This window comes from Homo sapiens, chromosome 5 (genome assembly GCF_000001405.40).
Source record: "Homo sapiens chromosome 5, GRCh38.p14 Primary Assembly".
NCBI classification, from domain to species: Eukaryota; Metazoa; Chordata; class Mammalia; order Primates; family Hominidae; genus Homo; species Homo sapiens.
In genome coordinates this window covers 139,341,854-139,368,597 of record NC_000005.10, presented here as the reverse complement: position 1 = coordinate 139,368,597, position 26,744 = coordinate 139,341,854, and the positions used below count along the sequence as shown (strand labels likewise).

Genomic DNA, 26,744 nt, shown 5'->3' with positions numbered 1-26,744 from the left:
CAAAAAGGAAGAACCAGATGTAAGCTATATATCATATTAAATTACATCAACTTTTTCTTTTCTTTTTTTGTGACGGAGTCTTGCTCTGTCGCCCAGGCTGGAGTGCAGTGGCACAATCTAGGCTTACTGCAACCTCTGCCACCTGGGTTCAAGCGATTCTCCTGCCTCAGCCTCCTGAGTAGCTGGGACTACAGGCGCGTGCCACCACACCCAACTAATTTTTTGTATTTTTATTTATTTATTTAGTTTTTTTTTTATGAGACGGAGTCTCACTCTGTCACCCAGGCTGCAGTGCAGTGGCGCGATCTCAGCTCACTGCAAGCTCCGCCTCCCGGGTTCACACCATTCTCCTGTCTCTCATCCTCCTGAGTAGCTGGGACTACAGGCGCCCACCGCCACGCCCAGCTAATTTTTTGTTGTATTTTTAGTAAAGACGGGGTTTCACCATGTTAGCCAGGATGGTCTCGATCTCCTGACCTCGTGATCCGCCCGCCTTGGCCTCCCAAAGTGCTGGGATTACAGGCGTAAGCCACCGCGCCCGGCCTAATTTTTCGTATTTTTAGTAGAGAAGGGGTTTCACCATGTTAGCCAGGATGGTGTTGATCTGACCTCGTGATCTGCCTGCCTCGGCCTCCTAAAATGCTGGGACTACAGGCGTGAGCCACTGCACCCGGCCTAAATTACATCAATTTTCTAAAGAGAAAATAGGAATTGAAATTCAGTTTGCTTAAGTGTAACCAGAAATCCAGTAACTTCACATAAGTTAAAGGAATAGCACGGAACAAGGAATTCTGTTAATCGAACTATGGTATGTAGCTTTCTTTAAACACTAAATACCAAGGAACCATGTTAAACAAGTGTTGAAATTATGATTAAAGTAACTGGGGAATTGCTGATTTTACTTTAGAATCCTCACTAAAAATGTGGAGTTGTTTTTCTACAATTGCCATCTTCTAATTCCCACAGGAAGCATGGTATATAACAGGAAAAGAAAACTACATGGGGAACCAGAAGACCTAAGCCTGAAATCCCAGCCCTGCCCCTAACTAACTTCTGTGTAAACTCAGATAAGTCACCTTTCTCTGGGATTCAAATTTTTGCATCAGTTAAAAAAAAAGGGGTGGGGGGGAATGGGCCAAAGTCTGAGTCTTAGAGACTTGTACCAATGTTATGCTATGTCTCTAAATCTTTACTCTCCTAAGTAGACTTGTCAGCATCTAGGAAGAACAGCTAGAAATTTTCCTCTGTGATATTTTAGACTGCAAGTTGAAAAAAATAAAAAGAAATGAGGGCAGGTTCCAGGGCCTGAAATGTAGGTATGCTGCAAGGCTTTTACATTGAATTTGACCCTACATCACTTCAAGACTAATGCATAATATTAAACATCATGTTGAAGAAATAATTTTAGTTTCGTAATTTATACATAGCAGTTTCTTTGGACAGGATATATTCTCCCTTCCCCCAAGGGAAATAATGTATCTACATTTTAAAAGTGTGAAGTTTAAGAAAAAAAAGCAGCATTCCTTTTCTCTTTTTTTGAGACATGGACTCGCTCTGTTGCTTAGACTGGAGGGCAGCGGAACAATCACAGCTCACTGCAGCATCGGCCTCCTGGGCTCAAGTGATCCTCTGGCCTCTGCCTCCCAAGTACCTGGGACCACAGGCCTGTGCCACCACACCCAGCTAACTTTAAACTTTTTGTAGAAACAGGGTCTCCCTTTGTTGCCCAGGCTGGTCTCGAACTCCTGGGCCAAAGTAATCTTCCCACTTTGGCCTCCCAAAGTGCTGGGATTACAAGCATGAGCCACCACATCCAGGCACAGTGTTCTTAAATGAACAATTTTCTGGGAGCAACAGAAGAATGAAACAAAGTAATATCAAATAGACTGAGAAGAACAAACCAGCTTCTGTACTATGGAATTATACTGGGTCCAGATTAAAGTTATACATTATGCTCAGCCAAGAGTGTTACTCTGCAGGGCAACTGGATTATTTATGGTGACTAATGTAGCCGTAAGTAATCATACCCCCCTCCAGACTATTCAGATCATACAGCTGCTCAAATGGGTTACCATCACTTACTGCAACAAAGGCTATATACCACAATGTAAACTTCAGTGCTCTCTACACCATCCTTTAGAAGAATGGTTTCCAAATGACCGACTCAGGCAAGTTGGCTGTATAATAAATCCTCTGTAGTACTTTTAAAAAATTAACATGCCCAGACAACTGAGCATGTTGGGATGTAACTAAAGAACTGATTTTTGTATTTAATGCTTCATAGGTAATCATGGTGTACAGATTAGTTCAGTGGACCCAGCCAGTTCTCACTCTAGTGCTGATGTTTAGTTATCACAATTCCCCCCACCCCGCTTTTTTTTTTTTTTTTTTTTTTGAGGTGGAGTCTCACTCTGTCGCCCAGGCTAGAGTGCAACGACACCATCTTGGTTCACCACAACCTCCACCTCCCAGATTCATGCGATTCTCCTGCCTTAGCCTCCCAGGTAGCTGGGATTACAGGCACGCACCACCACAACCAGCTAATTTTCTGTATACTTTTAGTAGAGACGGGGTTTCACCATGTTGGTCAGGCTGGTCTCGAACTCTTGACCTCGTGATCCGCGTGCCTCGGCGTCCCAAAGTGTTGGGATTACAGGCATGAGCCACTGCACCCAGCCAAGACAAGATTAAAGAGCAAAACTTCTCCATCAAGCTACTTCTGTATAGGCAAGTAACATGATAATATTGTGTGTGTTTTTAAATTATTAATTCTTTAGGACATTTAAGTACCCTAGGGCAACATCAGGACTAAAAGCAGGGGCTAGAAGTCCGTCTAAGACTAGCTCTACAGTGTTGCCGGAAGTGATTCCATGTCGTGAGACTCTGCTTCCATTGTAAAAAGCAGCACAATTCCTTTTTCCTTTTTTTTTTTTTGAGACAGTCTTGCTGTGTCACCCACGCTGGAGTGCAGTGGCGTAATCTCGGATCACTGCAACCTCTGCCTTCCAGGTTGAAGCGATTCTCCTGCCTCAGCCTCCCAAGTAGCTGGAACTACAGGCGCCCGCCACCATGTCCAGCTAATTTTTGTATTTTTTTTTTCTTTTTTTTGAGTCAGAGTCTCACTCTGTTGCCCAGGCTGGAGTGCAATGGTGCGATCTCCACTCACTGCAACCTCCGCCTCCCAGATTCAAGCAATTCTCCTGCCTCAGCCTTTTGAGTAGCTGGGATTACTTACAGGCATGCACCACCACACCCAGCTAATTTTTGTAATTTTAGTACAGATGGGGTTTCACCACGTTGGCCAGGCTGGTCTTGAACTCCTGACCTCAGGTGATCCACCCACCTCGGCCTCCCAAAGTGCTGGAATTAAAGGCATGAGCCACCGTGCCTGGCCAAATTTTGTATTTTTTATTCTATTTATTTATTTATTTATTTATTTATTTATTTATTTATTTAATAGAGTTTCACTCTTGTTGCCCAGGCTGGAGTGCAATGGTGCAATCTCAGCTCACCACAACTTCCGTCTCCCGGGTTCAAGCGATTCTCCTGCCTCAGCCTCCCGAGTAGCTGGGATCACAGGCATGTGCTACCATGCCCGGCTAATTTTTTATTTTTAGTAGAGATGGGGTTTCTCCATGTTGGTCAGGCTGGTCTCAAACTCCTGACCTCAAGTCAACTGCCTGCCTCGGCCTCCCAAAGTGCTGGGATTACAGGCGTGAGCCACATGCCCGGCCAGAAGCAGCACAATTTCTGAAGGGGAAAGAGATGTAGAATTCTTAAATAGATGGGAGCTGGCTTTTCCACTTATGCAAAAGATGCACTAGGTTTTAAAAAGATGAAAAATAACTTTTTACCACAAGATCTTCCAGAGAAGAGCCATCACTGATAACAAGGTCATTAAACTGGTCTTGGATTTGGTCCATAGTTTGTGGGAGATCTCGAGCTGGAATAAACCATTCATGCTCTTCTTCCTCTTCCAGCATTTCTTGGAAACAGCGTTCAATAAATTCTTCTTCCCATAACTCCTCTTCTATCTAGATTTATAATAAAGGATAATTTATAGCACACTTGGTAGATATCACTAGGAATGGCTTAAAATATCTTGAACTAAACCATTTAAAGGCACAAAGTCATACTTTCTTTTCTGCTTCCATGCTAAGGAAAAAAAATGCTTACCATAATGACCGGCGAAGATCTATCTGTTTAGGGTTTTTCTATGTTTTTACTTTTATTAGTAGAACATTCTTTTTTCCATTGAGGGTGGCAGGGAAGAAGTAAAAAGAGATGCCTGTCTCTTTTTTCTGTGCCTGTCTGCTCCTGACTCCTGAATTCTCTTGACTTTCACGGTAACCAGCAATCTTACTGGCATAAGGCAGTGGTTTCCACATCTGACTGCTCAATGGAACCATCTGAGAGCTCTGAAAAAGTTTCCCAGGCTCCACCCTCATCCTCCTGATTCAGACATCTCTAGGGTGGGACCCTGAAACAAGCTCCCCAGGTTATTTCCGTAAGCAGTTAAGCCTGGTAGTAATCAGCAGCCAAATAAACAGGAGTGGTGGCACATCAGTCTACATACTTTATACATAAAGGACAAGATAAACACATTTCAGGGACAAGTACAATCATATTGAGGGCCAGAATGGACTATAAAAACATGTTTGTACAAAAAACTAACTTGTCTGTTGAATTCTTCTTCATTTTCCATCCACATGTACTCTGCAAATGGATTGTCATCTTCATGAGAATGACCGTTAATAATCACATCTTCATTGATGATGCTTGGGCTAGTACTGCTGCGACTTGGATCTTTCATGGCTGATGTTGGTTGTCGTTTTTAACCTTAAAAGAACAACAGCACAGTTAATTTACTTACTCATTCAGGGTTTTTTCTTTCTGAGACAAGGTTTCACTCCGTCATCCAGGCTGGAGTGCAATGGTGTGATCATGGCTCACCACAGCCTCGATCTCTTGCCTCAGCCTCCCAAGTAACTGGGACTACAGGTGTGCACCACCACACCACCCGGCTGAATTTTTTTTATTTTTTGTAGAAACAAGGTCTGTGTTACCCAAGCTGGTCTCAAATTTCTGGGCTCAAGTGATCCTCCCACCCAAGCCTCTCAAAGTGCTGGGATTATATGCATGAGCCACCAGGCCCAGCTGATTCTTTCAGTTCTTAGTGAGCATCTGTTTATTATTAGCAGGCATCATGAATAGGTGTTAGAGGCAGATGATACATTAAAAATACACGGTAAGTTGAATAATTGGAAAGCTTCATGTTTGTTTTTTCCAAATGATTTTAATGTTTTAAGAAACAGGAGAGGACAGCCTAAAACATCTAATGTTTTCTTTTTTTTTTTGAGATAGAGTTTCACTCTGTCACCCAGGCTGGAATGCAGTGGCATGATCTTGGTTCACTGCAACCTCAACTGCCCATGTTTAAGCGATTCTCCCGCCTCAGCCTCCCAAGTAGCTGGGATTACAGGCACGTGCTACCATGCCCAGCTAATTTTTGTATTTTTAGTAGAGATGGAGTTTCGCCACGTTGGCCAGGCTGGTCTTGAACTCCTGACCTCAGATGATCTGCCTGCCTTGGCCTCCCAAAGTGCTGAGATTATAGGTGTGCGCCACCACGCCCGGCCACATCTAATGTTTTCCGATAACAGTAAATGAAGTCCATCAGTTGCTTACATGGACTCTCCAAACCATCCAATTTATATTTTATATTACATATCACTTGCTTTGTAAAGCAAGCATGGTCGGCTGGGTGCAGTGGCTCATGCCTATAATCCCGGCACTTTGGGAGGCGGGGGCAGGTGGATCATTTAAGGTCAGGAGTTTGAGACCAGCCTAACATGGTGAAACCCTGTCTCTACTAAAAATACAAAAAAGGCCAGGCGCGGTGGCTCATGCCTGTAATCCCAGCACTTTGGGAGGCCGAGGCAGGTGGATCACCTGAGGTCGAGAGTTCAAGACCAGCCTGATCAACATGGTGAAACCCCGTCTCTACTAAAAATACAAAATTAGCCGGGCGTGGTGGCACATGCCTGTAATCCCAGCTACTCCGGAGGCTGAGGCAGGAGAATTGCTTGAACCCGGGAGGCGGAGGCTGTGGTGAGCCAAGATTGCGCCGTTGCACTCCAGCCTGGGCAAAAAGAGTGAAACTCCATCTCAAAAAAAAAAAAAAAAAAAAAACACCCAAAAACAAAAAATTTAGCTGGGCATGGTGGTACATGCCTGTAATCCCAGCTACTCAGGAGGCTGAGGTGGGAGAATCACTTGAAACCAGGAGGCAGAGGGTACAGTGAGCCGAGACTGCACCACTGCACTCCAGCCTAGGCAACAGAGGGAAACTCCACCTCAAACAACAACAACAACAACAACAAAAACCAAACACGGTCTGAAAGACTGAGTCATCAAGTGATGAAATGATGAAAAGCAAATTCAATTTTTAAAAACTGACTTCAAAAAGTCCAGGGATTGAAAGTGAAAACTAACAGATTTTTAATAACTTCTTAGGTTCTTCATGTATATAGCTCTGGATCTCTCCTTGATAGCCCATATTCTGTGTCTGCTTTTTCTCTAGGTCCATGTCAAGTTCTTCCATGTCTGGAGTTCCTCACTGTACAGTGAGTTTCAGGCATCTTTTTTTTTTTTTTTTTTTTGAGACAGGGTCTCACCCAGACGAGTGCAGTGGCGTGATCTCAGCTCACCGCAACCTCCGCCTCCCAGGCTCAAGCAATTCTCCTGCCTCAGCCTCCAGAGTAGCTGGGATTACAGGCGTATGCCATTATCACCTGGCTAACTTTTGTATTTTTAGTAGAGACTGGGTTTCACCATGTTGGCCAGGCTAGCCTTGAACTCAAGACCTCAAATGATCCACCTGTCTCAGCCTCCCAAAGTGCTGGGATTACATGCATGAGCCATCGCGCCCAGCCCAGTATCTTTTCACCTGAGTAAAAGTAGTATCAAATACAAGCCTGATGTCTTATACTACTCAATAGCTGATAACATGATCTAACCTAATTGATACATTGCAGGCTAAATATCTGAAGCACAAGGTTTCACATTCTAAAATATTCCAATTCATTAAGTTTGAAATCACTAAAAATAGATTTACATAAAACAATTCACCTGTACGTAAACTCAAGCAGTATAGTGACTTGTGCCAAAGAAAGGCTTATTGAGGTCTGCTTACCTCACATTTGTCATAATCAAGTAAAACACTAAATCTAAAATCTCCTACTGGAAATATATGTATTTTTTTCCCTTTGGGATAAGTTTCAGGGAAAAGATGAACCCTATGTGTGTTGCCTGGCCCTTTAAATTTTATGGACTTATCCTTAAGAGGACATAAGTGTAATAAAAATCCATAGCTGTTCATGTAATATGACAAATACTAGATACTAATGACAACAGGATCATAGTGGTGAAAATTTTAATTGTTGAGAGGTCCTCAACTAAAAATTTCTGGGAACTTCTGTCCTAGTTATAGTATGTATATCTATAAAAGAAAGGCAGGCCGGGCACTGTGGCTCACTCCAGTAATTCCAGCATTTTGGGAGGACAAAGCAGGCGGACTGCTTGAGCCCAGGAGTTCGAGACCAGCCTGGGCAACATAGAGAACCCCATCTCTACTACAAATACAAAAAATTAGCTGGATGTGGTGGTGCATGCCTATAATCCCAGCTATCTGGGAGGCTGAGGCAAGAGAATCACTGGAACCTGGGAGGCAGAGGTTGCAGAGAGGCAAGATCACATCACTGCACTTCAGCCTGGGCAAGAAAGCAAGACCCTGTCTCCAAAAAAGAAAAAAAAAAAAAGAAAGGCAGGAAGAAACAAACTGGGTGCGGCTCATGCCTGTAATCCCAACACTTTGGGAGGTCAACAGGGGTGGATCGCTTGAGCCCAGGAGTTTGATACTAGCCTGGGCAATATGGCAAAGCTGGGTACAGTGGTGCACGCCTGCAGTCCCAGCTACTTGGGAGGCCAAGGTAGGAGGATCTCCTGACCCTGGGAGGTGGAGGTTGCAGTGAGCTGAGATAGTGCCACTGCACTCCAGCCTGGGCGGCAGAGCAAGACCCTATCTTGAAAAACAATAATACAATCAAACAAAAGAAGAAAGGCAGAAACAGACTCAGAGTTATGTGCTATGGTGTTAGTAGAAAGAAAATATGATAATATGATTTGTTAGGAAATTGAGGCACTGTAAAAGCAGACAAGACAGAAAACAGACAATGGATATCTGTTATTTTTATCATTAAACTTGGATGAAAAACTATTTTGATAGCAAGTTTTGACTAAATAATAACCAGTTCCTCTAAAGAAAATAATTAGACTGGGTGCGGTGGCTCCCGCCTATAATCCCAACACTTTGGGAGGCCAAGGCGGGCAGATCACGAGATCGGGAGTTCGAGACCAGCCTGGCCAATATGGTGAAATCCCGTCTCTACTAAAAATACAAAAACTAGCCAGGTATGGTGGCACGCACCTGTAGTCCCAGCTACTTGGGAGGCCAAGGCAGAAGAATCGCTTGAACCTGAGAGGTGGAGGTTGCAGTGAGCCGAGACTGCGCCACTGCACTCTGGCCTGGGCAACAGAGCGCGACTACATCTCAAAAAAAAGAAAAGAAGAAAATTACCCATTTTTTTTTGAGACGGAGAGTACAGTGGTGCAATCTCAGCTCACTGCAACCTCTGCCTCCTGGTTCAAGAGATTCTCCTGCCTCCGCCTCCTGTGTAGCTGGGATTACAGGAGCGTGCCACCATGGCCGGCTAATTTTTTTGTATTTTTAGTAGAGACAGGGTTTCACCACGTTGGCCCGGCTGGCCTCAAACGCCTGACCTCAAGTGATCCGCCCACCTCAGCCTCCCAAAGTGCTGGGATTACAGGCATGAGCCACCGTGTCCGGCCGAAAATTACTCATTCTTATATGGCAGGCTACCAAACTGCTTACTGTTAAATAATTACATTTTAGATATTCCTCTAACACTGTGAATGGCTGGGATTGATCCTGCCTCACAACTGGATGGAACTTTGGTTAATCTGCATCTGAACCTTATCATTAAGTTAGGTACAAAGACACCCCAATATAAACAGGTTTTCATTATTTTCCCAATTTGTATCCTGTCCCAACTTATGCCCATAAAATCCTACTTTTCACACCGGGCACTGTGGCTCATGCCTGTAATCCGAGCACTTTGGGAGGCTGAGGCGGGCAGATCACTTGAGGTCAGGAGTTTGAGACCAGCCTGGCCAACATGGCGAAACCCTGTCTCTACTGAAAATGAAAAAAAATTAGCCGGGTGTGATGGCGCACACCTGTAATGCCAGCTACACAGGAGGCTGAGGCAGGAGAATCACTTGAACCCAGGAGGTAGAGGTTCCAGTGTGCCAAGATCGCGCCACTGCACTCTCCAGCCTGGGAGACAGAGTAAGACTCTGTCTCAAACAAATAACTTAGCTGGGTGTGGTGGTGCACGCCTGTGGTCCCAGATACTCAGGAGAGTGAGGTGGGAAGATCATATTAGCCCGAGGTCAAGGCTGCAGAGAGCCATGATCGCACGCCACTGCATTCCAGCCTGGGCAACAGAGCAAGACCTCGTCTCAAAAAAAGAATTTACTGTTTTAAAGTGTTTGATTCAGTGGTTTTAACACACCACCATTACCTAATTCCAGAACATTTTCACCACCCCAAAAGGAAACTCCATACCCATCTGTAGTCACTCTCCATTTCCCAAGCCCCCCAACTTGGACAACCACTAGTCTACTTTCTGTCTCTATAGATTTGCCTATTCTGAACATTGCATATAAATGGAATCATAAAATATGTGTCCTCTTCTCATGTCTGGCTTCTTTCACTTATTACAATGTTTTCAAGGTTCACCTATGTTGTAGCATGTATCAGCATTTCATTCCTTTTTATTGCCAAACAATATTCCATTGTATAGAGATACACATTTTATCTACTCTGATTAATGAGCATCTGCAGTCGTTTCCACTTTTTGGCTATTAATAATGCTGTTATCGGTATTTGTGTACAAGTTTTTATATGAGCACGTTTTCAGTTCTCTTGAATATATACCCAATGTGTTCAATGCTAGTCAGTCTTTTAGCTATACATTTTCAACTGTGATAGAAAAAATGAGTAAAAAAGGTAGCTGACTCCCTCCCCACCACCAGACACAATCCTCACTCCCAATCCTTTTCCCAAAAGTAAGCACTGCTAATGTGGTATATATTTTTCTTAAAAAGTAAACACATATGCAACAATAGTATTGCATTTAAGGGCCTTACAGTCATCATCTATTTAATACTCACAAGTCCTGTGGATGTAGGGATTATGGTCAAATTCATTTCCATGACAAAGAACTAAGTCTTAAGTAACTTGTTCCAGGTTACACAACTAGTGAACAGTGGAGCTGAAATTCAAGTCAAGGTAGCCTGACTCTAAAACATGCACCAGGGCCCAGCACTTTGGGAGTCTGAGGTGGGCCTCCAGACCCAGCTGTTGAAAACCAGCATGGGCAACATAGTGAGACCCCTATCTCTACAGAACTACTAAAAAGAACTGCCAATGCAATGATAAACTTCCAGAGGAATGCTTAAGAAAAAAAAAACCAACAGTTCAATTCTGGTAAAACACCTCTGTGGTATTTTAAACTACCCTAGTGCCATCTCCCATTTGCAGCTTGGTAAGCCTTGAAGACAATAGCCTGCATTCTTGGTACAAGTTGGAGGTAGCAATATCAATATTATTTTTATTTTTTTGAGATGGAATCTCGCTCTGTTGCCCAGGCTGGAGTGTAGTCGCGTAATCTCAGCTCATTGCAACCTCTGCCTCCTAGGTTCAAGCGATTCTCCTTCCTCAGCCTCACAAGTAGCTGGGACTACAGGCGCGTGCCACCATGCCCCGCTAATTTTTGTATTTTTAGTAGAGGCGGGGTTTCACCATGTTGGCCAGGATGGTCTCGATCTCTTGACCTCGTGATCCGCCCGCTTCAGCCTCCCAGAGTGTTTGGATTACAGGCGTGAGCCACGGCCCCTGGCTGCAATATAATAAATATTAACAAAAAACTCTGGTTGTTTTGACCTGGCTCCCTGAAGGACTGGCTCAAGAGTTTGCTATGGGGAGTGAGGTGGGGCAGTAGCACACATATTTGTCAAAAACAGTTAAGGGTAAATATAGTAGCAATAACGGGGCAAACAATCAACACAGTAAAAAGCCTGGGAAGAAAAGCTGGTGAAGGAGATGCTTTGAGAGTAAGAGCTTTGAAAAGCTCCCACATATCCTGGTAGTCCTAGAAAGCCATAGGCATGTCAGTGCTGAGCAGATGTTCAGAAAAGACCTGAAAAGGCTCTAAGTTTTCACCTCTGGCTCAGGCTCTGCCCATGCAGGAAGTGAAGGCAAAGGCAGAGCTGTTGAAGGTGTGCCTCAACACATCCATAGGACCCATATACCAAGACTAGGGGAGTTGTTTTTTGCTTAAAGGCATTTAAAAAAAATCTGTCAAATCACTAGCTGACCACTAAGCTAATGGAAGAGAGATTTCAATGGCCACACACACAAAAAGAATACAAATTTTACTAAACTCTTTCAGAAAAGGCACTAAAATGACAACTACAATAAGTGGCAACAAACCTGGGGAGAATCTAATTTCCAGAATTGCCACATTATATCATTCAAAATGTCTTTTTTTTTTTTTTTTTTTCTGGAGACAGAGTCTTGCTCTGTCACTCAGGCTGAAGTGCAGTGGCTCAATCTCAGCTCACTGCAACCTCCACCTCCCGGGTTCAAGCGATTCTCCTGCCTCAGCCTCCCGAGTAGCTGGGACTACAGGCGCATGCCAGCACACCTGGCTAATTTTCTGTATACTTTTAGTAGAGACGGGGTTTCACCATGTTGGCTAGGCTGGTCTCGAACTCCTGACATCAAATAATCCACTCGCCTTGGACTCTCTCTCAAAGTGTTGGGATTACAGGCGTAAGTCACCGTGCCCAGCCCGAAATGTCATTTTCAACAAAAATTATGAGGCATGCAAAGAAATAAAAAAGTATGGCCCATACACAGGCAAAAAATAAATTAACAGAAACTGTCCCCAAGGGAGCCCAGATATTACATTGGACAAAGACTTTATTTATTTATTATTTTTGACGAGGAGTGTTTTGCTCTTTTTGCCCAGGCTGGAGTGCAATGGCGCGATCTTGGCTCACTGCAACCTCCGCCTCCTGGGTTCAAGTGATTCTCCTGCCTCAGCCTCCCGAGTAGCTGGGATTACAGGTGCATGCCACCAGGCCTGGCTAATTTTTATATTTTTAGTAGAGACGGGGTTTCACCATGTTGGTCAGGCTAGTCTCAAACTCCTCACCTTGTGATCCGCCTGCCTTGGTCTCCCAAAGTGCTGGTATTACAGGCGTGAGCCACCGTGCCCAGCCGACTTTATTTATTTAACGTATCGTTTTTGAGACAGAGTTTTGCTCTGTCACCCAGGCTGGAGTGCAATGGCACGATCTCAGCTCATTGCAATTTCTGCCTCCTGGGTTCAAGTGGTTCCCCTGCCTCAGCCTCCCAAGTAGCTGGGATCACAGGCACCCAACACCATGTCTGGCTAATTTTTGCAGCTTTTAGTAGAGACAGGGTTTTCACCATGTTGGCCAGCCTGGTCTCAAACTCCTGACCTCAGGTGCCTCCCAAAGTGCTAGGATTACAGGCGTGAGCCACCACGCCCAGCCTATTTATTTTTTGAGACTGAGTCTCCCTGTGTTGCCCAGGCTGGAGTGCAGTGGCTTGATCTTGGCTCACTGCAACCTCCGCCTCCTGGGTTCAAGCGATTCTCCTTCCTCAGCCTCCCAAGTAGCTGGGATTACAGGCGCCCGCCACCACACCCAATTAATTTTTGTATTATTTTAGCAGAGAAGGGGTTTCACCATGTTGGCCAGGTTGGTCTCGAACTCCTGACCTCAGGTGATCTCCCCACATCAGCCTCCCAAAGTGCCACTGTGCCTGGCCAAAGACTTCAAATCAAGTATATTAAGTATGTTAAAAGAGCTAAAGGAAACCATGTAGAAAAAAATAAAAGGAACCATAGAATGATGTCTCACCAAATAGAGAATATCAGTAGAGACAAATAGTGGGCCGTGGTGGCTTACGCCTGTAATCCCAGCACTTTGAGAGGCCAAGGCAGGCAGATCACCTGAGGTCAGGAGTTCAAGCCCAGCCTGGACAACATGGTGAAATCCTGTCTCTACTAAAAATACAAAAAATTTAGCTGGGCATGGGGGTGCATGCCTGTAATCCCAGCTACTTGGGAGGCTGAGGCAGGAGAATCACTTGAACCCAAGAAGTGGAGGTTGCAGTGAACAGAGATCATGCCACTGCACTCCAGCCTGGGCAACAAGAGTGAAAACTCTGTCTCCAAAAAAAAAAAAAAAAAAGAGAGAGACAAATAGAAATTTTGGAGTTTAAAAGTAAACTGGGCCAGGTGCGGTGGCTCATGCTTGTAATCCCAGCACTTTGGGACTTTGGAAGGCTGGGGCAGGAGGATCACGAGGTCAGGAGTTCAAGACCAGCCTGGCCAACATAGTGAAACCCTGTCTCTACTAAAAGTACAAAAATTAGCCAGATGTGGTAGCACGTGCCTGTAGTCCCAGCTACTCAGGAGGCTGAGCCAGGAGTATCGCTTGAACCTGGAGGTGGAGGCTGTAGTGAGCTGAGACCACGCCACTGCACTCCAGCCCGGGTAACAGAGCAAGACTCCATCTCAAAAAAAAAAAAAAAAGGTACAACTGAAATGAAAAATTTACTAGAGGGGTTCAACAGCAGATATGAGCAGAGAGACAAAAGAATCAGCAAATTTAAGTTAAGGTCAATTGAGATTTATCCAGTCTGAGAAGCAGAATGAGGAAATGAAGAAAAATGAACAGAACGTTGACAGACCCAGGAGACATCAACTGTGCCAAAATATATACAATGGAATTACCAGAAGAAAAGGAGAATAGTTCAGAAACATTTGAAGAGATAACAGCCTAAAACTCCCCAAATTTGATAAAAAGACACAAATCTATGTATCTAAGAAGCTCAATTAACCCAAAGTAGGATAAACTCAATATGACCCGTACCAATACACATTACAATCGAATTGTTGAAAGACAAAGAGAGCATCTTGAAAACACCAAGAGAAGCAACTCATTACATACAAGGGATCCTCAATAAGATTAACAGCTGATTTCTCACCAGAAACCATGGAGGTCAGAAGGTAACATATTCAAAATGCTGAAAGAAAAAAAAATCGAACTAAGAATTCTTTATCTGGCAAAACTACCCTTTCAAAAATGAAGGAGAAATTAAGTCACTGCCAGATAAGAAAAAATGGACAGAGTTTGTCACTAGTAGACCTGTCCTATAAGAAAAGCTAAAGTGAGTCGTTCAGGCTGAAATGAAAGAACTCTACAGACATTAAATTGAATCCACACAAAATTAAAATGCCAGTAAAAGTAACTTATACAGGTAGTCACAAAAGTCTGTAATAACATATTTTGGCTTATTACTCCTCTTTCTTTCTGCATTATTTAAAAGATAAGGCTGGGCACAGTGGCTCATGCCTGTAATCCCAGCACTTTGGGAGGCCGAAGTGGGTGGATCACCTGAGGTCAGGAGTTCGAGACCAGCCTGGCCAACATGGCAAAACCCCGTCTCTACTAAAAATACAAAAAAATTAGGTGGGTGTGGTGGCAGGCACCTGTAATCTCAGCTACTCGGGAGGCTGAGGCAGGAGAACTGCTGGAACCCGGGAGGCAGAGGGTACAGTGAGTCGAGACAGCGCCACTGCACTCCAGCCTGGGCCAACAACAGTGAGACTCTGCCTTAAAAAAAAAAAAGAAAAGACAATGCATAATATAAGAATTATAAATCTATGTTAATGGACATACAATGTATAAAGATGTATTTTGTAGTAACAAATTACAAAAGACATGTAATTATTTTGTAATTACATTATTACAAATGTAATAATGGTGGGCGACAGGAAGCTATATAGTCTTTTGGATACACTTGAAACTAAGCTGATATTAACTCAAACTGAATTGTTACAAACTAAGATGTTAATTATAACCTCCAGGGTAACCCTTAAGAAAATAATACACAGTAAAAATGTGTACAACAGCTGGGGTATATCATCATCCTATTCAGAAATAGCCAGAAACAAATGTCTTTAACATCCTAAGAGTCAATGAGCTCAAACCTATATATGTTGAGAGTCTCCCCTGGCTGAGAGAATGCTTTTCTCCAGAACAAAAATAATTAAAACTTAGAGGAAATGCTGGAAACACAAAAGAAGGCCCTAATTTGCTTGAATGACTTTTAAGGACCGAAAACAGACAATGACTTAACAATACAGTAAAAAAACAAACTCTGGTACAAATAAGTCACAGAGGAAAACAAAAAACACAAAACTGAGAGGCTGACTATACTCAGCTGTTACTTTTTTTTTTTTTTGAGACAGAGTTTCATTCTTGTTGCCCAGGCTGGAGTGCAATGGCTCACCACAACCTCCATCTCCCCTGGGTTCAAACGATTGTCCTGCCTCAGCCTCCGGAGCAGCTGGGATTACAGGCATGCTCCACCACGCCCGGCTAACTTTGTATTTTTAGTAGAGACGGGAGTTTCTCCACGTTGGTCAGGCTGGTCTCAAACTCCCAACTTCAGGTGATCTGCCCACTTTGGCCTCCCAAAGTGCTGGATTACAGGCGTGAGCCAACGCACCCAGCCTCATCTGTTACTATCTTATCTTTGGCTCATGCCTCATTCTGACCCACTATAAAACTGGCAGGTAGGCTGGGCGTGGTGGCTCATGCCTGTAATCCCAGCACTTTGGGAGGCTGAGGCAGGAAGATCACCTGAGGTCAGGAGTTTGAGACCAGCCTGACCAACATGGAGAAACCCTGTCTCTACTAAAAACACAAAAGTAGCCGGGCGTGGTGGCACATGCCTGTAATCACAGCTACTCGGGAGGCTGAGGCAGAGGTTGCGGTGAGCCAAGATCACTCCATTGCACTCCAGCCTGGGCAACAAGGACGAAACTCCATCTCAAAAAAAAAAAACAACAAAAAAAAAACTGGCAGGAATTAACTGAGAAAGCCAATATTTTTTCCCCAGGTTTTTTACAGCCTGTATTTGTTTCAAGGCATGTTATGCTTTAAAACCCTAAAACTGTCAGAAAATATATCAAAAATAAAAAATGTTCAGTATTAATCTCATGCAAAGGAGATAACACGTCTTCATAACACGGCAAGACTAACTCAGAAAAACTAGCTTAATGTATCTAGTAGTCATTAAAATACTTGTAAATCAGATTTCCCTAGTGAAAATCACAAAATAAATGTGATTATCCAAAATGCTTAGAACCAGAAGTGTTTTGGTGTTTTTTTTTTTTTCAGATTTTGGAATACTGTATTATACTTGCAGTTGAGAATCCCAAATCTGAAATTTTGAGTGTCATGTTGGCATTCAAAAAGTTCTGGACTTTGGAACAGTTCAGATATCAAATTTTCAAACTGGGATGCTCAACCTGTCATAAACAGTAATTTTTCACTTTATGCTTTCAGTATTCATTTGAAAATTTTTGGACAGCAGGGTCTTTGCACAAATTTAGGATCAATTTTGTTAGGAAAGCAAGCATTGAAGTGTAGGCCGATGCGGGAGGATCACTTGGGGTCAGGAATTCAAGATCAGTGTGGGAAACATACCAAGAGCCCATCTATACAAAAAACATTTTTAATTAGCTGGGCATGGTGGTGTTCACCTGTAGACCCAATTACTTGGAAAGCTGAGACAGGAGGATTACTTGAACCATGATTGCACCACTGCACTCCAGCCTGGGTGATACAGCAAGACCCCATCTCTCAAAAAAAGAGTGACAGGGATGAATGTAAAAAGTACACACTACTTACAAAAAAAAAGAAAAAAAGTTAGGTATACAAACGTCTAAAGCGTATATAGTTTTTCCCTCTCCGATCCTATCATAGAGGTAATTCATCAATGTTAACAGCTTAATATGTATCCTTTCATAATTCTTTGTTTATATAAACACACATAAAGCATTTCTGTATTTTAACAGAATTATATTAAATACATTACATAAAATCTTCCCTAGTCAACAGGTATTGGTATACTTCACTTTTTAATGGATACAACACCACTTATTCAACCACCCCCTTCTGATGTACATTTATGTTCCCACTTTTTGCCATTACACACAATCTTGCTATGATCACTCTTTTTTTTTTTTAGTAGAGACAAGGTAGTAGTGCTTCGTATAGGATATATTCCTGTAAGTGGGAATAACTGTGTCAAGGGCCATTGCATTTTAACTGTAAGAGATGACAGATTATTTATAAAAATGTGGCAATACGCATTCCTATTATACTGTTTGGGTGCATCCATTTTGCTGCATCTTCAACAATCCCAGATATTATATATGTATTGTATTTTATTTTTGCAATCAGATGAGCTAAAAATGACATTTGTTTTCCTTTACAGCTTCTGGGAAGTCTTTTCCCACATTGAGATTATATTTCCTGTATTTTCTCTCAATATTTTTATAGTTTCAAGTTTTTATATTTAAATCTTTAGTTCATGTGAACATTTGAATATGTGAAGGATCTATATTTCTCCATATAAATTACATCATCCCCCACTAATGAAAGCTTATTCCTCATGTTTATCATAATTGAATTCCCATTTGTCTGAATCTATTCTGAGATTCTTTATTCTGTAATTGTGTATTTCTATACCAATATCAAAAACTGAAAGAGGACAAGGAGCACAAACCTTTCATCTAGATTCATCAGTCTTTTGCCTGTTTTCTCTATTTTTTTCTTCTTTTTTTTTGCTTAACCATTTGATAAGTTGCAGGTATGATCTTTCAACCTCAACTATTTCAATTTTTTATTTATTTATTTATTTATTTTTTTGAGACAGAGTCTCACTCTGTCACCCAGGCTGGAGTGCAGTGGCACAATCTCGGCTCACTGCAACCTCCACCTCCTGAGTTTAAGTGCTTTTCCTGTCTCAGCCTCCCGAGTAGCTGGGACTACAGGCGCATGCCACCATGACACACTAATTTTTGCATTTTTAGTAGACATGGGGTTTTGTCATGTTGGCCAGGCTGGTCTCCAACTCCTGACCTCATGATCCGCCCACCTCGGCCTCCCAAAGTGCTGGGATTACAGGCATGAGCCACCGCCCCTGGCCTGTGATTTCTATTTCTAAAGTACAAGAATGATGTATATATTACACTCATCTTTTTTACTTAATCTGGTCAATTCTGAAAGTGGTTTATCCAAGTCCTCTACTACAGTAGATAGAATATGTGACCCAGTCTGAGAATTTCTGTCTCATAAGGAATTAACTTTTTTTTTTTTTTTTTGAGACAGAGTCTCGCCTTTGCTGCCCAGGCTGGAGTGCAGTGGCGCGATCTCAGCTCACTGCAGTCTCTGCCTCCAGGGTTCAAGCAATTCTCCTGCCTCAGCCTCCAGAGTAGCTGGGATTACAGGCGCCCGCCACCACACCTGGCTAACTTTTATTTCTTATTTTTATTTTTTGAGACAGAGTCTCACTCTGTCGCCAGGCTGGAGTGTAGTGGCGCAATCTCGGATCACTGTAACCTCTGCCTCCCGCGTTCAAGTGATTCTCCTGCCTCAGCCTCCCGAGTAGCTGGGATCACAGGTGCACGCCACCATGTCCAGCTAACTTTTGTATTTTTAGTAGAAACGGGGTTTCACCATGTTGGCCAGGATGGTCTCAATCTCTTGACTTTGTGATCCACCTATCTCAGCCTCCCAAAGTGCTGGAATTACAGGTGTGAGACACTGTGCCCAGCCAGGAATTAACATTTTTGATAACTGATGTTTCGTTTTATGTCTTTCATAATAATTTCATGTTTACTTTTCTTATGCTTTTTCAAATGTTCTATTAACTATTTCTTTTCTATAGCGTTTATTTTCCTACACTTAATAACTTTAACTATTTTCCTATCAATTAAAAATGTACTCCAAGGGCAGGAGGCAGTGGCTCATGCCTGTAATCCCAGCACTTTGGGAGGCTGAGGCGCGTGGATCACAAGGTCAGGAGATCGAGACCATCCTGGCCAACATGGCGAAACCCGGTATCTACTAAAAATACAAAAATTAGCCAGGCATGGTGGTGTGAGCTTGTAGTTCTAGCTAGTCAGGAAGCTGAGGCAGGAGAATTGCTTGAACTCAGGAGGCGGAGGTTGCAGTGAGCTAAGATCACACCACTGTACTCCAGCCTGGGCGACAGAGCGAGACTCCGTCTCAGAGAAAAACAACAACAACAACAACAGCAAAAAACAACTCTATACATCCATTTAGAATGCCTTTCCTTCTCCAATATACCCAACCCAATGCTTACTCTGAGCCAAGGCAAGCCCTTTAAAATTATTTTACTTACACACTTCTTCCCTCCCCAATCTTCAGTTTTGTGGAAGTTAGCACTGGTAGATTCCTACTATTAGGTTTTCTCTTACTATGTTTTAAAATAATTTTTGAATTGAATACTTGACAATACACATTATCATCCATTTATATTTTACTAAATTCATCACTCAGGCCATGCACAGTGGCTCACGCTTGTAATCCCAGCACTTTGGGAGGCTGAGGCAGGCAGATCACCTGAGGTCAGGAGTTCAAGACTAGCCTGGCCAACATGGCGAAACCGTCTCTACTAAAAATACAAAAATTAGCTGGGTGTGGTGGCAGGCACCTGTAATCCCAGCTACTGGGGAGGCTGAGGCAGGAGAATTGCTTGAACCTGGGAGGCAGAGGTTGCAGTGAGCCAAGACTGTGTCCTGCACTTCAGCCTAAGCAATAAGAGTGAAACTCTGACTTTAAAAAAAAAAAAAAAAGATACAAAGATTAGCTGGGCGTGGCCAGGCACAGTGGCTCACGCCTGTAATCCCAGCACTTTGGGAGGCCGAGGTGGGCAGATCATGGGGTCAGGAGATCTAGACCATCTTGGCTAACACGGTGAAACCCCATCTCTACTAAAAATACAAAAAAAAATTAGCCAAGTATGGTGGCAGGCACCTGTAGTCCCAGCTACTCAGGAGGCCGAGGCAGGAAATTGGCGTGAACCCGGGAGGCAGAGCTTGCAGTCAGCTGAGACTACGCCACTGCACTCCAACTTGGGCGACAGAGTGAGACTCCGTCTCAAAAAAAAAAAAAAAAATTAGCCAGGCTTGGTGGTGGTCCCCTGTTGTCCCAGCTACTCAGAAGGCTGAAGCAGGAGAATTGCTCGAGCCTGGGAGGCAGAGGCTGCAGTGAGCCAAGATCACGCCACTGCACCCCAGCCTGGGTGACACAGCAAGACCCTGTCTCAAAAAATATAAATAAATAAATAAATAAATTCATCACTCGTAGTTTTTTTTTTTTTTTTTTTGACATGGAGTCTCACTCTGTTGCCCAGGCTAAAGTGCAGCTGCACGATCTCGGGTCACTGCAACCTCTGCCTCCTGAGTAGCTGGAATTACAAGTGTGTAACACCATGCCTGTGCCTGGCTAATTTCTGTATTTTTAGTAGAGATGGGGTTTCACTATGTTGGCCAGGCTCGTCTAGAACTCCTGAACTCAGGTGATCCGCCCACCTCGGCCTCCCGAAGTGCTGGGATTACAGATATGAGCCACCACACTGGCCGAGTTGTTTCTTATATTCATCATCTTCCCCTAACTTCCTATCTTTGTAAAATAGTTCAAAAGGCTACCTGAGGATTTATCATTCTAAGCCAGTGTCCAAAACATCTTTTTTTTTTTTATGGATGTACCACAGTTTTTTAAAAATTATTATTATACTTTAAGTTTTAGGGTACATGTGCACAATGTGCAGGTTAGTTACATATGTATACATGTGCCATGCTGGTGTGCTGCACCCATTAACTCGTCATTTAGCATTAGGTGTATCTCCTAATGCTACAAAACATCTTTTGCCTTCATGTTTGAATAAAAATGTTGTATGGCCTGGCGTGGTGGCTCAGGCCTGTAATCCCACCACTTTGGGAGGCCAAGGTGGGTGGATCATTTGAGGTCAGGAGTTCTAGAAAAGCCCGGCCAATATGGTGAAACCTTGCCTCTACCAAAAATACAAAAATTAGCCGGGCATGGTGGTGGGCGCCTGTAGTGTCAGCTACTCAGGAGGCTGAGGCAGGAGAATCGCTTGAACTCGGGAGGTGGAGGTAGCAGTGAGCCAAGATCGCGCCACTGCACTCCAGCCTGGGCGACAGAGCGGAACTGTGTCTTAAAAAAAAAAAAAAAAAAAAAAAGTTGTAACATGAGTATTTCCATGTAAATGTGCTAAAAAAAAAATTAGTTGTAACAGAATTCTGAGATGTCTGTGCTTCCTGTTGATAATCTATTGTCAATAATTCCAACTTTCAATGTTGTAGAAAATCAATTTTCTTTCCTTTTAAAAATCCTGTTCTAGGCTGGGTGCAGTGGCTCACACCTATAATCCTAGCACTTTAGGAGGCCAAGGGAGGTGGATCACTTGAGGTGAGGAGTTTGAGACCGGCCCTGGCCAACATGGTGAAACCCCATCTCTAGTAATACAAAAACTAAGCCAGGCATGGTGGCGCACAGCTGTAGTCCCAGCTACTCGGGAGCCTGAGGCAGGAGCACTGCTTGAACCTGGGAGGCAGAGGTTGCAGTGAGCTGAGATGGTGCATTCCAGCCTGAGCAACAGACTGAGACTGCATCTCAAAAAATAAAAATAAGCTGGGCGCAGCAGCTCACGCCCAGCACTTTGGGAGGCCAAAGGGGGTGGATCACGAGGTCAAGAGATTGAGGCCATCCTGGCCAACTTGGGCGAAACCCCGTCTCTAAAAATGCAAAAATTAGCTGGACATGGAGGTGCACGCTTGTAGTCCCAGCTACTCGGGAGGCTGAGGCAGGAGAATTGCTTGAACCTGGGAGGCAGAGGTTGCAGTGAGCTGAGATGGTGCCACTGCATTCCAACCTGAGCATCAGAGGGAGACTGCATCTCAAAAAATAAAAATAGGCCAGGTGCGGTGGCTCACGCCTGTAATCCCAACACTTTGGGAGGCCAAGGGGGTGGATCATGAGGTCAAGAGATTGAGACCATCCTGGCCAACATGGTGAAACCCCGTCTCTAAAAATACAAACATTAGCTGGGCGTGGTGGCACATGCTTGTAGTCCCAGCTACTGGGGAGGCTGAGGCAGGAGAATCACTGGAACCTGGGAGGCGGAGGTTGCAGTGAGCCAAGATTGCGCCACTGCACTCCGGCCTGGTGACAGAGCAAATCTCCGTCTCAAAAAAATAAATAAAAATTTAAAAATCCTGTTCTAGACGACAGCTTAAGATGTTTTAACAAATTCATATATTTCACCAGATTTTGGATAGGTAAGAGCAATTTTTTCCCAGTACTACTGCCTGGAAGTCAGCAAACCCTTTCAATTTATCAACTTAGGGCTTTATTGTGTCTTCAGCTGTTTTTCCCCTCCTGAAATGCCTCTTAGACATATTGGTTTCCAGCAGTGTCCTTTTATATTGTCTATGGAATTTTAAAATACAGAAATCTTTTAGGTTTTACAATCTTTCTCCACTAGTTTCATCTTTTAAGAATTCTCATTAAAATTCAAATATAGGCCTGGTGCGGTGGCTCACGCCTGTAATCCCAGCACTTTGGGAGGCCGAGGTGGGCGGATCACAAGGTCAGGAGATTGAGACCATCCTGGCTAACACGGTGAAACCCCATCTCTCCTAAAAATACAAAAAATTAGCCAGGCATGGTGGCAAGCGTCTGTAGTCCCAGCTACTCAGGAGGCTGAGGCAAGAGAATGGCATGAACCCGGGAGGTGGAGCTTGCAGTGAAATGAGATCATGCCACTGCACTCAGGCCTGGGCAACAGAGCAAGACTCCGTTTCAAAAAAAAAAAAAAAAAAATTCAAGCATAGTTCTCTTCTGTTTCTTTCATTAATCTACCTCCATAGGCACCATCTTTTCTCATTCCCTTGGACTCTGTTTTGAACCACTGTGATCCTTACCTTATTTGCATATTTTTTAATCGTATTTTACGCATATATACGTTTAAGCATACTTCCTTTGGCAGTTAAAGAGGATCGCAACATTTTTCAATTGGTCTGTTTTCCACTCTGAAGTCTGTGAAAAGCACCGAATTTTTTGTTTTACTATTTGGCACAGTAAGGTAACGATTAAAAAACATGGGCTCTGGGCTGGGCGCGGTGGCTCACACCTGTAATCCCAGCACTTTGGGAGGCCAAGGCCGTTGGATCACGAGGTCAGGAGATCGAGACCATCCTGGCTAACACGGTGAAACCCCGTCTCTATTAAAAATACAAAAACAAAAGTAGCCAGGTGTGGTGTCGGGTGCAGCTACTCAGGAGGCTGAGGCAGAAGAATGGCATGAACCCTGGAGGTGGAGCGTGCAGTGAGCCGAGATCGCGCCACTGCACTCCAGCCTGGGCAACAGAGCAAGACTCCGTTTCAAAAACAACAACAACAACAACAACAACAAAAACCCATGGGCTCTGGAACCAGGCTGCTTTACTAACTGTGTGACCATGGCAAGTTACTTAACCTGAGTCTCGGTTTCCTCATCTGTTGCATGGGAATTAATAATAGTACCTAGTTAGAGAACCTAGCACATAACAATTGGCATTAACTATCTCGGTGATTAAATATTTAGGGCAGTTAAAGGTCTCTAGACCAAGGGACAAGGTAAAAATTAGAGATCTTAAATCTACAGAGGTGAAACAATGTCACAAGAAAATCCCAAAGTCTACCCTAATCTCAACTGTAGTGTAACAAGGGTAATTAGGTGAGAGCAAGAATGGGTCATCCTAACTGATAAAAGCTCAAGTACATTAGAAATGCCACCCAAATTTATACAAACTGATATAAGAAGCAGAGGCTATTCAAATTCTCCAAACGTGTGCCCATCCAATATGGTGGCCATCGGCTACACAGATCTATTTAATTAAAATTTAGTTCTTCATTTACACTAGCCACATCTCAAGTGCTCATAACCACACACAGTACCTACATCATTGGACAGCACCACTCTAAACAATGAAAAAATTAAGAAAAAAGGGAGTTTTTTGGAACTGAACCTTAGCCTATATCAAATGCAAACTATTCATGCACCTGTGCAACAGGTGGTCTAGATCACAAAGGCAATGACTTGGACAACTTTAATCTTAGACCACAGTCAGAAGACGTAGGTTCAAATCCCAGCTATGCTACATAGCCACCTTAAAGTACCCTAGACCTGTCACTAAATCACACAGCACCACATAATGGTTAAGAGCATAGAATCTCTGGACTATCTGGATTTGAATTCCGACTATCATAGCTCTGTGACATTGGGAAAGTTACTTCACGTCTCATTTGTTATCTTCATTTTACAGTAGGGCCTACCTTCTAGCTATGTTGTGGATCAAATTAGTTAATATTTGTAAAGGCAATGAGAACAATGCCTGGCATTATTGTTATATAAATATTTGCTAAATAAAAATAATCTTTCAGGCTTCTATTTCTTTAATTCCCAAATGGGCAAGATAAAACTTGCTCTGTTGGGAGGCCGACGGGGGCGGATCACAAAGTCAGGAGATCGAGACCATCCTGGCTAACACGGTGAAACCCTGTCTCTACTAAAAATACAAAAAATTAGCCGGCGTGGTGGCAAGCGCCTGTAGTCCCAGCTACTAGGGAGGCGGAGGCAGGAGAATCGCTTGAACCCGGGGAGGCGGAGGTTGCAGTGAGCCAATTGCGCCACTGCACTCCAGCACTCCAGCCTGGCGACAGAGTGAGACTCCATCTCAAAAAAAAAAAAAAAAAAAAACTTGCTCTGCCCATTTCACGTTTCATGATAATGAATGACAATAGGATGTAAATTACAAGAAAATGTTTTAAAAGCACAAAAGGTTATTAGATTACAAGGGGGCAGAGGTCTTGCCTTCCACATTCTTTAATCTCCCACAGTATCAACCAAATTGCTGTGCTAAGTGTTCAAGTTTTTCACTAAAACTGGAGCATCACACTCTAGAGTCATAAAGTGATAAACCTGAATAAAGTGCAGAGTGCTTATTTAAGGAAAAGCCTGCTATAAACTCATTCTGACCAAAAGAGGGTGAAATTACCTACCTCAATTTGAGTTCCTAAGGAGCAACGTGCACAGCCTTGAATCATTAGAGGAAATCTCCATTCCCTAACCTCCATCCCTTAAAGAAACACAAGTGGGTTCTATAGTTCTTGTCAAGTTACCTATCCTGTGATTTTGTGTGTGTGTGAAAAAGTTTTATTCAAGTTCACAACTGACAAGTAGTATAAACAGACTAATTTTCCCCAAATATCCTGTCTTTCACTAACTGGAAACAGAATCACAAAAGCAAATAGTGGAGTCTCATTAAAAATTATTGTAGAGAACTTTTACTTATTGCAAACACAACCTACGCCAGAAGAAATTTCAAAAGCGACTTAATGAAAATATAAACCAACACCTGATCTAACTGTGCTAATGAAATCTGTGAAAAAACAATGCCACCACGTTTCAACATTAGCCAGCACACCCAACATGAACATCTACTTTCCGTTGAAATAAACGTCAAAGGCTGTCAGCTGCTACACCTTCCAAGGCAAATTGGAAGCCAAATTCTTTCTAGAGTTTGGGGTTTTTATGAGTTGATACGGGTGCCAAATCAGGGAAAAAAGAAACAAAAGGAAGCAGGTAAGACCCCTTTTAGGAGTCCCTAAAAAATATCACTGCTGGCTGCTGCAACAAATGTTTTGAAGACCTAAGTTCACCACAAGCCTTATTTATTTCTGGTGGCGATGGTGGGGAAGGAGGAGAGTAAGCACAGAAAATTATTAAAAGGTAAGAGGACCTTAAAGTTCATCTAACTCAACGCCCTCCTAGGGTAAGGGTTCCCAGTACCCCAAAGGTTCTTTTTTCCAGGGCATGAGCTGCAATACAACCAAAAATAAGGGGTAGCGATGGCGAAGAAACGGGAGAAAGACGATCTTCTGATCAGGCCCGTCGACGGTTGCAGCGTTCCCCCAAGACGCCAAGAGCCCGCCAGTCCCTCCGCCCCTCTCTCCCCAAACCCCAGCCTCGGCTGAGGCGCGCACGCGCAGCAAGTAGGGGCTGCGCGTGGCGACGCGCAGGCGTAAAGTGGGTAGAAACAATAAGCTTTGTTGCCGAGGCGGTGGGAGGGGGGCAGGGGAAAGGGTACCCGGCGGAGGGATAAAGGACCGGGAGAATGAGGAACAGGAGAAAGTGCTATCCCGGCAACCCTCGCGCCACTGAGGACCCGGATAGAGAGCTGCGAGATCCAAATCATTAATAATGACAATGAAAAAAAAGCGACGGCCATGTCTCGGAGAAGACAGAGACGAAGTCGGCCCAAGCTCATCCCTCAGACTTGGTGGAAAGAGGCAATGAACAACGGAGGCCGCAATGGACTCGGTGGCCAACCACCCAGGGAACCCTTTAGGCCCCTCTGCCGTCGCCGACTTGCTGTCCCTCGACCTCCGCACCCCTGTCGCCACTCTGCCCGAGAGGACCCCTCACCCAATGCACAGCAGCGGGGACGGCAGCCAACGAATCCTGTCGGCCTCCGCGGATCTCCACAGGCAGCGCCGCTCCCCCGCTCGACGTGCGCTTCGCCCGCCGCCTCCCTTCTCCAGTCCAAACAAAC

The 26,744-nt window shown here is 43.7% G+C and overlaps 2 protein-coding genes across 18 annotated transcripts in view; one reads left to right on the top strand and one right to left on the bottom strand.

Moving 5' to 3' along the window:
- The window catches only part of SLC23A1 (solute carrier family 23 member 1), an 18,481-nt gene extending 17,079 nt beyond the window's left edge, over positions 1–1,402 (top strand). For all 10 annotated transcript variants that reach the window (XM_047417957.1, XM_047417956.1, XM_006714741.3 and 7 more), the window contains one exon: positions 967–1,402. The gene's annotated coding sequence lies outside the window, so the exon portion shown is untranslated. The remainder of the gene's footprint in view (positions 1–966) is intronic.
- The window catches only part of PAIP2 (poly(A) binding protein interacting protein 2), a 27,864-nt gene extending 1,120 nt beyond the window's left edge, over positions 1–26,744 (bottom strand). Inside the window, exons 1-4 of one of the 8 annotated variants that reach the window (XM_011543428.2) lie at positions 25,982–26,124; positions 25,192–25,268; positions 4,676–4,839; positions 3,855–4,034 (exon numbers count right to left, since the gene is read on the bottom strand). In XM_011543428.2, the coding sequence (XP_011541730.1) occupies positions 3,855–4,034; positions 4,676–4,813 (318 nt within the window). In that variant the 5' untranslated portion in view covers positions 4,814–4,839; positions 25,192–25,268; positions 25,982–26,124. Of the gene's footprint in view, positions 1–3,854; positions 4,035–4,675; positions 4,840–25,191 lie in introns of all 8 variants that reach the window. The other 7 variants (XM_047417265.1, XM_047417266.1, NR_109830.2 and 4 more) reach the window with 7 other exon arrangements.